General features: G+C 41.9%; 1 long non-coding RNA gene across 1 annotated transcript in view, besides 2 other annotated features; it reads left to right on the top strand.

Annotated features, from left to right (window-relative positions):
- EPIC1 (epigenetically induced MYC interacting lncRNA 1) overlaps window positions 1-14507 on the top strand; it is a 223927-nt gene that overhangs the window by 134139 nt on the left and 75281 nt on the right. The gene's annotated exons all lie outside the window — the stretch shown is intronic.
- Window positions 10260-10761: an enhancer, noted in NCBI's record as "H3K4me1 hESC enhancer chr22:48171821-48172322 (GRCh37/hg19 assembly coordinates)". NCBI's record gives its function as "activates a minimal SCP1, AML or CMV promoter by ChIP-STARR-seq in primed H9 embryonic stem cells {active_cell/tissue: H9 hESC(primed)}" and the evidence as "EXISTENCE:reporter gene assay evidence [ECO:0000049][PMID:30033119]".
- Window positions 10762-11261: an enhancer, noted in NCBI's record as "H3K4me1 hESC enhancer chr22:48172323-48172822 (GRCh37/hg19 assembly coordinates)". NCBI's record gives its function as "activates a minimal SCP1, AML or CMV promoter by ChIP-STARR-seq in primed H9 embryonic stem cells {active_cell/tissue: H9 hESC(primed)}" and the evidence as "EXISTENCE:reporter gene assay evidence [ECO:0000049][PMID:30033119]".

Raw genomic sequence — 14507 nt, forward strand, 5'->3', positions numbered from 1 at the left:
GCAGAAACCAAAAGGGATCCCTGTTGGGAAAAGCCTGAGGAAGGTCGGGAGAGGCATGGGGCGAGCTGCAGATGGTTGGAGGCTCTTGGGGAGAAGTTGTGGGCTGGTCAGGTTTGGGAGGGCAGGACATGAGGTTGGAAGACACGTGTCTTTGATCTCCCAAATGTGTGTTCTGAGCTCAGGCCCCACGCACATGGCTTCCCAGTTGACACATTCCTATTTCAACATGAATATTTTAATAAGGCAGAAACTTTCATTTTTCTCTCTTTTTAAAATCAAATCCATTTCTTGTGATTTATTGATTTTTTTTTAAAGTAAATCAATTTTTTCGTTTTCACAACTTATTACCAGATAGTGGGGTCTGGAACATACCGAGCAAGAATTCTGTTAAAAGTATTTAAAAGTATTTTCAAATCAAATCGATAAAACTACATGGATATGTTTTTTAATATTACAAAGAACAAATGTGGAAAAGTTAATCAAAACATGCTATTTGACACCAACACGTAGAACAGCACAGCTTTGATTTGAACAGATGTTCTAAACCATGAGGACTGTGCAAGAGAAACTTAAGAAAAATAAGCATAAGCCTCTCTGATACAAAAACAAGCAGACTCGGTTCTGGGTCTGGGTAAGTTGGGTTAAACACACTCTCCAAATGGCTACACCTAGAAAAGCTGGACAGAATACATGGAACAACTATTTAAAGACCCTGGAAAGCGAACAGCAGCAGGAGGAAAGAACTCCCAAATCCAACATTCCACCAGATTAATGCAGTTTACTCTGTCCCCTACCTGATCTCTTCAAGTCTGAACTCAATGCCCTAGAAACCCAGAAATGGACACCAAGGTGCAGGTAGAGAGAATTCCAGGAAAAACTCTTTCTTTATGGCCCAAGTAGCAGGAAAACAAACTCCCATCAGAAATCCCCATTTTCCTTTTTTTTTTTTTTTGATGGTGTCTCACTCTGTTGCCAGGCTGGAGTGCAGTGGTGCGATCTCGGCTCACTGCAGTCCTCAACTCCCTGGTTCAAGTGATTCTCCTGCCTCACCCTCCCCAGCAGCTGGGATTACAGGCATGAACCACTACGCCCAGCTAATTTTTGTATTTTTAGTAGAGATGAGGTTTCACCATGTTGGCCAGGATGGTCTCGATCTCCTCACCTCATGATCTGCCTGCCTTGGCCTCCCAAAGTGCTGGGATTACAGGCGTGAGCCATCATGGCAAGCCTAGAAATCCCCATTTTCTTTTCAATGTTTTCCTTCTGTTCTCTCTCACCACAACCCCTTAAGCAATCACGTGGAGATGGTGGCAGCAGAGAGTGATACGCGCCCACAGGTGCAGGGCAGTCATCCTCTCCGTCCTGCAGACCTGGTGTTCCAGGAGGCGAGGCTGCACCTCACACATCCTCCCCTGGGTGCTTCTGAGCTGCATGACCATGGACGAAGGGATGACTGCAGAAGTGCTCCACAGAACAGGGTAACTCACATCCCAAATTTCCAGCCAGAGGAACTTGGGAAAGGCTGTTTGCAGACTCCCGGGCTCACGGTTCCCCTGTACACACAAAGCTGTGCACACATGGGTGTTGCCTCATGGAGCATTTCAAACGTCATGAAGGTTAAACTGACGGAGCACTCACAGACCGAGTCCTAGGTTGGCCTCTGGATGGCCACTTGTGGGACAGATCTGGACAGAAATGCAAAGCTTGGAAAGTGGAGCTAACCATAAAACCACAGCCAGTCCAGAGAAGGCACGTTGGAACTTGTGGCCTGGGTGTGAGCAGGTTAGCTGCCTGCAGAAACAAACACTGGGCATTGCTCATTCTCCCTGCCTCATAACATACCATCCAGAATGCCCAGGATACAATCCAGAATTACTTGGCATGTGAGGAATAAGGAATATCCCAATTCTCATGGGAAAAGATGGTCAACAGACAATGATACTAAGATGACACAGCTGTTGCAATTATCTGACAAAGACATTAAAACGGTGATTATTAAAACATTCCAGCCAGGTTCATTGGCTCACACCTGTAATCCCAGCACTTTGGGAGGCTGAAACACGTGTACAGTTTTGAGCTAAGGAGTTTGAGACCAGCCTGGGCCACATGGTGAAACCCCATCTCTACTGAAAATACAAAAATTAGCCAGGTGTGGTGGCATGTGCCTGTAGTTCCAGCTACTTGGGAGGCTGAGGTTGGAGGATCCCTTGAGCCCAGGAAACAGAGGTTGCAGTTAGCCGAGATCACACAACTGCATGCCAGTCTGGGTGACAGAGTGAGACCCTGTCTCAATAATAACATTCCAAAAAGTCATTGCAAACACATTCAAAATCAATCAAAAGTTAGAAAAGGAAAATTTAAGTCCTGAAAAAAGCGTGCATGCATGAACGTGCACACGTGCACACACACATACTCACACAGAAACCTCATGGATAGGCTCAATAGCAGACTGGAGATGAGAGAGAAAAGAGTTAGCAAACTCAAAGACAGACCAAAAGAAATTATCCAATCTGAAAAACAAAAAGTTGGAAAAAAAAAATAGACTAAGCCTCAGGGACCTGTCAGAGAACAATAAAAGGTCTAGTATTTTTTCACTGGAATCAAATTGAGGTGAGAGTGTGATGCTAAAGAAATAAATAAATACATAAAAATTTCAAGAAAATTTGCTGAAAACTCTTTACATTTTGGAAATTACCTAAGCCACCAGAATCAAGAAGGTCAGCAAACCCCAGAGACAATAAGCCCAAAGAAATCTATGCACAGACACATCATAATCAATCTGCTGAACACTAGACACACACAAAGTTTTGAAAGCAGCAGGAAAAAAAAAAAAGATGCATTCCCTAAAGGGAGAAAGCAATTCAAATGGCTGTGACTTTCTTATCTGAAACCGTGGGGGTCAGACGGAAGTGGCACGGCGTTTTTAAAGTTCTGAAAGACAATAATTGCCACCCCAGCAGTATATATCCAGAGAAAATACCTTCAGGAATAAAGATGAAATAAAGACATTCTCAACTGAAGGAAAACAAAGAGAATTCATTACAGCTGAACTGCTCTAAGAGAATTCCTAAAGGAAGATCTCCAGACAGAGAGGAAAGGATAGAAGGAATCTTGGAACATCGGAAAGGAATGAAATGACAGGAGTGATAAATATGTGAGTAAATGTAACAAATTATTATTCTCTGCTTTGAATTCTTTAAAATATGTATGAAGATTGAGAGCAAAAAATTGTACCATTGTCTGATGATGTTTTCAGTGTATGAACACAATGTATGTAATGCATAAGGCAATGATCACATAGAGAGAGAGAGGGTCTGCAGGTCCCCATGGAGGAAAGTTTTCTGTTTTGTTGTTGTTTATTTATTTTATTTTATTTATTTATTTATTTTGAGAGGGAGTCTCACTCTGTCACCCAGGCTGGAGTGCAGTGGCGCAGTCTCGGCTCACTGCAAGCTCCGCCTCCTGGGCTCATGCCATTCTCCTGCCTCAGCCTCCCAAGTAGCGGGGACTACAGACGCCCGCCACCACACCTGGCTAATTTTTTGTTTATTTAGTAGAGACGGGGTTTCACCACGTTAGCCAGGATGGTCTCGATCTACTGATCTCGTGATCTGCCTGCCTCAGCCTCCCAAAGTGCTGGGATTACAGGCGTGAGCCACCACGCCCAGCCTATTTTATTTTTATTTTTAATTTTTAGGGTACATAGTAGGTGTATGTATTTATGGGGCACACGAGATATTTTGGTACAGGCATGCGATGTGTAATAATTACATCATGGAAAATTGGGTATCAATTCCCTAAGCATTTATCCTTTGTGTTACAAACAATCCAATTATATTCTTTTAGTTATTTTAAAATGTACAGTGAAATTATTATTGATGATAGTCCCCCTATTTGTTGTCATATAACATGGAATTTAGAAGTAAGCAATCCGGCCCTAGGATGAGGGCCCTGTGGTGGTGTCAGGATCCGGTCTCCTTCCCACTTCCTGCCATGCCCTCCTTTACCAGTGGTTTTCAGGTTATGGTTCCACGGTGGCTGCCCACCTCTGCTCACTGCATCTGCATCCCAGGCAAGACAACAGGAGCACTCAACACAAATGTGCACGGCCATGGGAACAGGCCAGCCACATATTCCTCTTCAAAAGGCCCTCCCAGAACTACTAGGCAGCATTTTCTCCTTCCTATATTGACCGGACTTTGTGATACAAGAGAGAAAAGAATTTAGCGAAGTATATTTACACACTGAACAAAATCAGGGTCATATTAGCAAGGAAGAAAAGAAAAATAGACATAAGGTAGGCAAGCCATAGTATCTTTGACAACAGTTATTAAATATTGTATGCAAATTTTATATATTATATAATACACATATATGTATTTATGTATGTGTATGTAGATAGCATGGCCATTCTATGTGAAGTGACATTTTCTAAGTAGACTGCAAAGAGTTAAGTATGATCATTGCAAACCTTAGAACAATCAGTGTTTAAAAAATTAATCTCTATAAAGAGATGTAGTAAGAAACACAATAGATGATGCTACATATGTTCAAATAACCCAAAAAGATGGCAGGGAAGGGGAAACAGAAGAATGTCAAATGGATGGAACAAACAGAAAACAAATAGCAAAATAGTAGAACTGAACCCAAATATATCAATCATTATAGTAAATGACAATGGTCTACACACACTCTTAAAAGACAGAAGTTGTCAGAATGCATAAAACAACAAGCATTATTCATATGCTGCTCATAAGAAACTCACTGCAAATATAATGGTGCAGGTATATTAAAAGGAAAAAGATTTAAAAAGATTATCTATATGAACACTAATCAAAAAAGCCAGGTTGGTGATATTGATATCAGACAAAATGGACTTGAAAGCAAATATATTTACCAGGGATAAAGTAAAACATTACATAATGATAGAAGAGTCAATTCATCAAGAAGACATAACAATACCAAATGTGTATGCATCTAACAAAAGAGCTTCAAAATATATGAAGCAAAAACTGAAGAAACTGAAAGGAGAAATAGATAAATCTCCCATGACAGTTGGGAACTTCAGCACTCCTTTATTAGTAAGATATAGAACTGGCAAAGAGAATCTGCAAAGATAGGGAAGGGAACAACACCATCAACCCTCTGCATCTAATTGACGTTTACAGAACACTCTACTTAATAAAAACAGAGCTCACATACTTTCAAGTCTGCATGGGGCATTCACCAAGAAAGATCATGGAAATCATACCAAGTATGTTTTCTGATCATAATGGAATTAAAACAGAAATCAACTACATAAAGATAACAGAAAAATCTCCAAATACTTGGAAATTAAACGACACCTTTTAGATGATCATTGGGTCAAAGAGAAAGTCTTAAGGGAAATTAGAAAATACTTTGAACAATAAAAATACAGCATGCCAAAATTTGTGGGACGTAAATAAATCAGCGCTTTAAAAAATTAAGGCACTAAACTCTTCTATGACAAAAGAAAGATTGCAAGTGAATAATCGTCTTCACCTTAAGAAACTACAAAAAATAAAGAGCAGAATATGCACAAAGCAAGCAGAAGAAAGACGAGCTGAAATCAGTCAAATTGAAAATAGTAAAACAATACAAAATATTAAGAAATAAAAGCTGACTCCTTGTTAAGATCAATAAAATTAGCAAACCTCTAGCGTGGCTGACAAGGAAATATAGAATAGAAGCTAGAACTACCAATATCAGAAATAAAAGAGACTTTTTTTAGTGCATCTTGCAAACATCAAATGGATAAGGAAGGTATACTTCAAACAACTCTCCACATACAAATTCAACAACTTACATGAAATGGACTAAGGCCTTGAAAACCACAAACTGCCAAAACTCCCCCAAGATGAACTAGATAGCCTGCATAGCCCTATTAGTAAAATTGGATCTGTAGTTAATCTTTGAGAAAGAAATCTCCAGCCAGGAGCGGTGGCTCATGCCTGTAATCCCAGCACTTTGGGAGGCTGAGGCGGGCGGATCATGAGGTCAGGAGATCAAGACCATCCTGGCTAACATGGTGAAACCCTGTCTCTACTAAAAATACAAAAAATTAGCCGGGCATGGTGGTGGGTGCCTGTGGTCCCAGCTACTAGGGAGGCTGAGGCAGGAGAATGGCGTGAACCCGGGAGGCGGAGCTTGCCGTGAGCCGAGATTGTGCCACTGCACTCCAGCCTGGGTGACAGAGTGAGACTCCGTCTCAAAAAAAAAAAAAAAAAAAGAAATCTCCAAGCCAAGGTGGTTTACTGTCAAACTCTACCAAATATTTAGAAAGAAATAGCACCAGTTATATACAATTTCTTGAAAAAAAGGAAATGTTTTCTACCTTATTTGATGAGATAAGCATTACCCTGTTGTCTAAGCCAAATAAAGATAATACACAAAAAGAAAACTACAGACTAATATTGTTCATGAACACATATAAAAATATCCTTACAAAACTATTAGTAAATTTAATCTGGTGATGTATAGTAAGATGAATACAAGACCATCAACTTGGGCTTCTTCTAGGCATTCCAAACCAGGTCAACATTCAAAAATCAATCAATATAATCAACTGTATTAACTGTCTCAGAAGTAATATCACATGATCATATCTATTGGTACAGAAAAGGCATTTGATAAAACTTAGAATCCACTCACAATAAAAACTCAAAGCAACCTAGGAATAAAAGAAAAATTACTCATCTTGCTAAAGGGCATTTACAAAAACTTATAGCTAACATTTTACTTAATAGTGAAAGATGTAATTTCCCCCGAAAATCATAAAAAAAGGCTAGAGAATCCCCTTTTACCCATTCTATTCAGCATTATAATGAAAGTCCTAGCCTGTATAATAGGGCAGGAAAAAAATAAAAGCATGCAGTTTAAGAGGAAAAGATAAAACTGTTCTATTCATAGACAACATGACTGTATACAGAATCCCAAGAGTAGCCAAAAAATCTTCTAGAACTAAAAGGCAAGTTTAGCAAGGTTAAACAAGGTCAACACACACACACACACAGACATTTCCATGCATTAGCGATTGATAAACTGAAAACCAAAATTTTTAAAAATGCCATTTTAAATAGGTCGAAAAGTGAAATATATAAGCATAAATATAGCAAAACATGTACAGAATTTGAATGCTGAAATAGAAACAACACTGATGAGAGCTTTCAAAGAAGACATAAATCAGTGAAGAGCCTACTGTACTCAAGATTCCAACACTGTGAAAATGCTGACTATTCCTAAATTGATGTACAGATTCAAAATAATTCCAATCAAAATCCCAGCATGATTTTTTTAGACAAAGACAAGGTGATTCCAAAATTTATATGAAATGTCAAATGAATTTGAATAGATAAACTATTTTTTGAAAAATAAAACGGGGAATTAAATTCCTTGATTTAAGACTTACTCTTGAGCTGCTGTAATCAAGCCAGTGTGGTGTTGGCAAAGGGTTAGATCCACAGATACGTGGAAGGCCATATAGAGTCCAAAAATGGACCTACACAAATACAGACATTTGCCTTTGTTATAATGGTGCAAAAACAAGTCAATGGAAAAAGCACAGATTTTCAACAAATGGTGTTGGGGCAATTGGTCCCTTATATGCCAAAAATAAGAACCTCAGCCTAAGACTCGTACCATATTCAAAAATTAACTCAGGATGTATTATGGATCTACATATAACATGCAAACACTGGAAAACCTTTAAAAGAAATCACAGGAGGAAATATTTGGGATCAGGGAGTTGAGGAAAGCATTATTAGATGTGACTTAACATCAAAAGCATAATTCATACAAGAAAGCAATAATGTATTGGACTTTATCAAAATTAGAGCTTTTGCTGCAAAAGACATTGTTAAGAGAATGCAAAGGTGACTGTTATGGGTTGAATTGTATCCTCCCAAAATTCCCATGTTGAAGTCCTAACCCCAGTACCTCAGAATGTGACCTTATTTGGAGATAGAGTCTTTGCAGAGGTGATCAAGTTAAAGTGAGGTCATTAGGGTGAGTCCTACTCTAATCTGACTCGTGTCCTTATAAAGAAAGGAAACTATAACAAAGACACACACAGATAGAAGACCACAGGAGGACACAGGAGGAAGACAGCATCTCATCTACATGTGAAGAAGCAAGGCCTCCGGAGAAACCAATCCTGCAGAGTCACCTTGATCTCAGACTTCTGGTTTCCAAAAAAAGTATGAGTGTATTAGTCCATTCTCACACTGCTGTAAAGAACTACCTGAGACCAGGTAATTTATAAAGAATAGAGATTTAATTGGATCACGATTCCACAGGCTGTACAGAAAGCATGGCTGGGGAGGTCTCAGGAAACTTACAATCATGGCAGAAGATGAAGGGGAAGTAGGCATGTCTTCATGTGGCCACAGAAAGAGGAGGATGGTGAAGGGGGAGGTGCTACACATTTTTTTTAAAAACTGGACCTTGTCAGAACTCACATCACGAGAACAGCAAGGGGGAAATCCACCCCCATGATCCAATCACCTCCTACCAGACCCCTCCTCCAACATTGGGGATCACAATTCAACATGAGATTTGGATGGAAACACAGAGCCAAACCGTATCAGTGAGATAGTAAATTCCCTTTGTTTAAGCTCCCCAGCGTGTGGGACTTTTTTAGGGCAGCCACAGCAAACCAATACAGCAACTTGCAGACTGGGCTAAAACATTTGCAAACCACATATCCAACAAAATACTTGGATACAGAATATGTTTTTAAAAGTCTTAAAACTTAGCAGTAAGAAAATAAATGCACCAATTAAGAAATAAACAAAAGACTTAATTACACGAAAAAGCTTTTGCACAGCAAAAGAAACAATCAACAGAGTGAACAAACAACTAGCAGAGTGGAAGAAGATATTTGCAAACTATCCATCCAACAGGGACTAATATCCGGAATTTACAAACAACTCAGACAACTCAACAACAACAACAACAAAACCCCAAACAATCTCATTGAAAAGTGGGCAAAGGATGTGAATAGATATTTTTCAAAGAAGATATGAAGACATACAAATGGCCAAGAAGCATGCGGAACAATGCTCAACATCACTAATCATCAAAGAAGTGCAAATTTAAACCATAATGAGGTTCCATCTTAAACCAGCCAGAATGGCTATTATTAAAAAGACAAAAAGATCACAGATGTTGATACAGAGAAAAGGGAACACTTATACACTGGTGATGGGACTGTAAGTTAGTGCAACCTTTATAGAAAGCAGTATGGAAATTTCTCAACAAAAACTACCATTTGATCCTGCAGTTCCACTACTGGGTGTACACCCAAAGTTAAAGAAATTGTGATACCAGAAAGATACCTGCATTCATGTTGACCGCAGCAGTATTCACAATAGCAAAGACAAGGAACCAACCTAAGTATCCACGAAGGGATGTTTGAGTAGGGAAAATGTGATCTCTATATACAATGGAATACTATTCGGCCATGAAAAGAATGAAATCATATCTTTTAGCAACAGGGATGGAACTGGAGGCCATTATTTTGAGTGAAACAGCTCAGAAAACAGAAAGACAAATACCACACGTTCTCACTGATAAGTGGGAGTTAAATCATATGTACACAGGGACGTGAAGAGTGGAATGAAAGATAACAGAGACCCAGGGTGGGGAGTGGGATGGAGACAGGACAAGAAATTACTTAGTGGGTACAATGTACATTATTCAGCTGATGGATATGTTAAAGCCCTCACTTCACCACAATGCAATATATCCATGTAACAAAATTACACTTGTATCCCATAAATTTACACAAAACAGAAATAGGCAAAAGATGGAAAAAGACATTTTACCAAACGATCACAAGGAAGGGAAATCATCACATAAAAATATTTTCCCTCATTTGCCGTTGATGAAGTGCAAAATAAAACCATAATGAGATGCCGTTGCACATCAATTACAATGGCCAAAATGAAATTACTGAGAATGCCAAGTGCTAGCAAGACTAGAAAGACTGGATCTCTCATTTCCTGCTGGTGGGAATGCAACAGGATGCAGCCACTCTGAGACATAGTTTGGCAGCTTCTTCATGATTAAGCAGACACCGTATGGCTGAGATCCTGCTCCCGGGGAAAGTAAACTTGTGTGCACACATGTAAGAAAATTTCATAGCAATTTTATTAATGATCACCCCAAATTGGAGCTAATCCAAATGCCCTTCAGCAGGTGAATGGATAAACAAACTGTGATCCATCCATACAAAAGAATGTTACTCAGCAACAAAAGGAAATGAACTATTGATAATATGCAACAATTTGGATGAATTTCAAAGGCATTATGTGGAAAGAAGGAAGTCAATCTCCAAACTTTATACTCTGATTCTGTATGAAATTCAAAAAGCTTTCTGAGCTTGACCTCCTTCCTTCTGCATAATGTCTTTGAAATTCATCCAAATTGTTCTTCTATCAATAGGAGGGCGTGTTTTAGAGTGATGGAGCTGTTCTGAATCTTAATGGTTACAGTGTTAAAATTCATAGAACTGCACATCAAAAAAGTTATTTGTACGGTGGGACGATTTTTAAAAAATAATATAAAGAACCATCAGACTCTTCCAGTCTTGCTGAGGACTGGTGGGGTTGTGATATTGAAGCTGTGTGCATCAGAGCCCTACGGAAGGCCAGAGAAAGAGTGGCGTCACCGTGTGGCCGTGCCTGAATTGCCCAGTGGTGCAGAGCATGAGGCCACAGATCAGGCCAAGCCGTCCTCCCAGAGACTCACTTCTCAGCAGGTGAGCATCAGGCTGTTGTTGACCGGCTGAGCCAGGCCCTCCTCGCCTGTCACCTGAACTGTTCATCCTGTTATGGCCCCTCTGCCTGACTGCCTTCATTCTCTCTCCCTCCAACCCGTCTTTTTCCCTGCAGCCAATGTGGTTTTTCTTAACTGTGCATCCAGCCCACCACACCTCAACTTTAAATACTCCAGGAGCTTCTTTTCTAAAGAATGGTTCAAACTCCATTTGCTTACTGTGCAAAACACTTAGAGCCCAGGCTGCATTCCCGCAGCTGCCTACAAACCTCATCCCTTCACGGATCTGCTGTGTGACTCTGGGCAAGCCACCAAGCCATGCCCACTCTGCTGGTACTTGTCGCCCTGGTATGGAAAATGGGGTGACTATAACAGCCATATCCCAGAGTTAGCATAGGGAGGAAGTCACAGTGACATCGAAAGGGCTCACCAAAGGCTCCTTGCTACTGTTTTTATTCGGGGCTAATCCCATAACTGTTGTTATTACAAACAGATACAGACATCCAGTGCCCACTCCGCCACGGTCACCACGAACGTGGAATCCGGGTTTTATTCTGACTCTACCATACTATTACTTAGAACCCTTTCTTTACAAAAAGGAAATTGCGTTTAAATTGCTTAAACAACAATAACAATGAAACATATTGGCTCATGTAACTGAAGAGTCCAAAGAATGATTTGGCTTCAGGCATGGTTTGATCCAGAATCTCTAAAGACATGACCAGGACTCTTGTTTTTTCTCTCCCTCCATTGGTCCAGCTTTTCTTTGGCTGCCTTTTCAAAACATCTCTCTCTGCATTGGAGCCAGATGGTCACCAGCAGCTCCCAAGTCCACTGGACCAGCTGTGGACAGGGACACCCTCTCCCAGTAGTCTGTCTGGACAGTTGCAGGAAACGCCCTGCTCAGGTCACAGGCCCATCCCTGACCCCAGATACTTTCTCAAGAATGTGGAGTTCTTGTCCACAAGCTGATTGTCCAGGCTGAGGTCATGTGGCTGCCTCTGTGGCCTGATGTCTGAATGGGGGTGAGGAGAGGGGTTGGGTCAGCATCATCTAGATGGCATGGAACAGGCAGGACTGGGGGTCTTCATCATGGGCCCCCACACTGTGGGCTCTAGGGGTTTCATTGTTGAGAGGGAAGTATGGACCACTGGACAGACCAGTGACCACAGTGTCTGTGGCTGTGTGTCCTGGGACAGTTTGTAAACTTTGGTGGCCTCATTTGTGACACGGGATGACAGCAGTCCCCGCCCAGGTCTGCTGGAGCTCTGAGAGGATAAGGGTACCCACAGCACTTTGCAAGTGCCTGTCATTAGTGAGAACTCTGAAACTGTGCCTTCCACAGCTACATTGTGTTATTGTTTTGTGTGGTTGCTTTCGTATTGCCTAGCAAATGACCTAGTCATGCTAAGAACTAAATTGATATTAGTTCCCTTCACTTTGCAGTCCCACGGACATTTCAATCACCTTATAACTCAGCGTGTTTGCAAATTCTATCCCTTCTGCTTGGGAAGCTCCTGTTCCAACCACAAATAACACCCCATCGTTTAGTAGTAACAGCATTTTAAACAGCATTTGTGTGGCTCTTGCAGCTTTTTATGCTCTCTTCATGCCCCCTCATGGAAGCTTCGCACACACTCTTGGTTCTGTCGCATGGTTCCCTTTTGACATCGGTGGCATCAGAGGTCCACGGAGGAGCCACAGGACTGCCTGTCGGTCTAGCATTACCTTGTGCGGCTTACCTTGTCTGTTTTGGCTCCCAAGGCTCCAGAGGGCAGGGCCCAGGGCTCAACCCTCACATGTCTCAAGAGCTCAGTACACGGCGGAGATTCCCGGGAAATGCTGCAGTGAACTGGATTGTGAGGCAATGCACAGAACACAGCACTGCGTGGCACCTAGCAGTTATGACGTTTATCATCCCGGGTTTCTACCAGTGCCAGGAGAGTCCTGGGAAATGAGAGTCCACTGAGAGGTCATGGGATGGAAGGAACTCACAGACTTGGGGCACAGATGGCTTCTCTGTGCCTGTGTCACCCCCGCCTGCAGATCCCATGTCCATCCTGGTGCCCGAGAGTCCCCATCCTGCATGCATGGCTTTGAACCTGCTCTGGGCTAGGAATGTCAGGCAGTGCGTCTGAGCTTCAGCCTCTCCATCCATAAAACAGGAATAACATTACTGCCTATCAGGATTTCATGAGGATTAAATAAGGCTGAATGAGAAAGAGGCATATAAACTTGATTTTTACATGCCTTGGAATATAAATGCTTCTTAAAAATTTCAGTGATGCCTTTTACAATTCTGAAAAGTTAGTATAAAAAGTTTGCCTGCCCTGCCTTTCTCCTGAGACTGCATGTGAAAATCAAATACAACAACGAAAGAAAAAAATGAAGTGAATGTATCATACCAGCTCAGCCAGCGTGTTTTGATGGCTTGAACTGAAGACATACCGAGATGTCACAACTGATGCTGAGCTGTGTCCCCCAAGCCAAGCCATTCTCTACCTTGCAACCAGAAACTCACAAACACAAGTCTGACCATCTCCCCTCTTTGCTTGAACTCTTGGGTGGTCCCGCTTGGCCATGGTGCTCAATGCCATCCTGGCTTCAGGATGATGCATGCCACATTTTCTGAGATCTGGTCCCAGATACTGCTTCTACCTTGGAATGTTTTTCTTCTCAGAAGAAACAAGGATACTAAAAGAAGCAAGTAAAAGCATTGCCCTATGACGGCTGACAAGAATAGACAGAAGGACAGAAGGTGCATTTCATTCAATCACCCAGAGAAAACTGTGCTCCTGGAGACAGAGGTAACACCCCCAGCTTAGCACAAGACACAGGGCAGTCAGTGGCGAATCCTGCCCTGGTAAGGTCTCCAGGCACCCGAGGCCTGGAGGTTTGTAACAAGAAAAGGAGCCAAGTTCCCTGTCCCCAGGAAGGAGCTGGACTCAGATGAATAGTGTGAGGGGGATAAAGAAAAAGTGTGCTCTCCTCCCGCCGAGAGGCTTCAAGAGCCCCTGCAGATTCGGAGTGATAAGGAGCTTAGACCAGCAACTGCTGTTTGATGAAGTTGCCATCTGTGGGATTTGCTGACTTTGAGCAGGACTCAGGGATATCTCTGTGTTACAGCCTGGTCAGGACTGTGCAGACGCGCTTTATCTGATCCTCGGGGAAATCATTTTCTGAGTAAGCTAAGCTATGATGGCTTCTAGAGACTCTGCCAGCTCCCCCAGTGGAAAGGTCAATGAATCTTCCACCAAGAAAAAATAATCGTGGGAGGGACTCTGCACATTAAACACCACTTCTGAGTTCCAAAGAATGTTCACAAAATAGCATGGCAAAAATGGAAAGAGGTGAAGCAGGTGAAGTTTGGGGTTCCTCTGGGGAGACATTTCTGGACCGTGCAAGCTTTTGAGGGTTGAGATTGGGCCTTCTCATGGCTTCATCCTGTGACAGTGTCCAGCACCTGGTGATGATGGTTTCGTGGTGGTGGTAGGCACTCAAGCTGTGTCACCAGGCACCATTGTTTGGCGAATTTGCCATCATCCAAGGTATGGCCATAGCCACCTGGGCCCAGATGCTGTCTTTTGTCTGGGGCTCAGACTTGATCAGACACAGGTGGGAAGCTCATGAGAGACAAGCACATAATGAAAATGTCAGTGTGCTGGTTTTCAACATCACAGGGTGGAAGGAGGAGCCTCCTGGCCATTCCC

Source organism: Homo sapiens, chromosome 22 (genome assembly GCF_000001405.40).
Source record: "Homo sapiens chromosome 22, GRCh38.p14 Primary Assembly".
Lineage (NCBI taxonomy): Eukaryota > Metazoa > Chordata > Mammalia > Primates > Hominidae > Homo > Homo sapiens.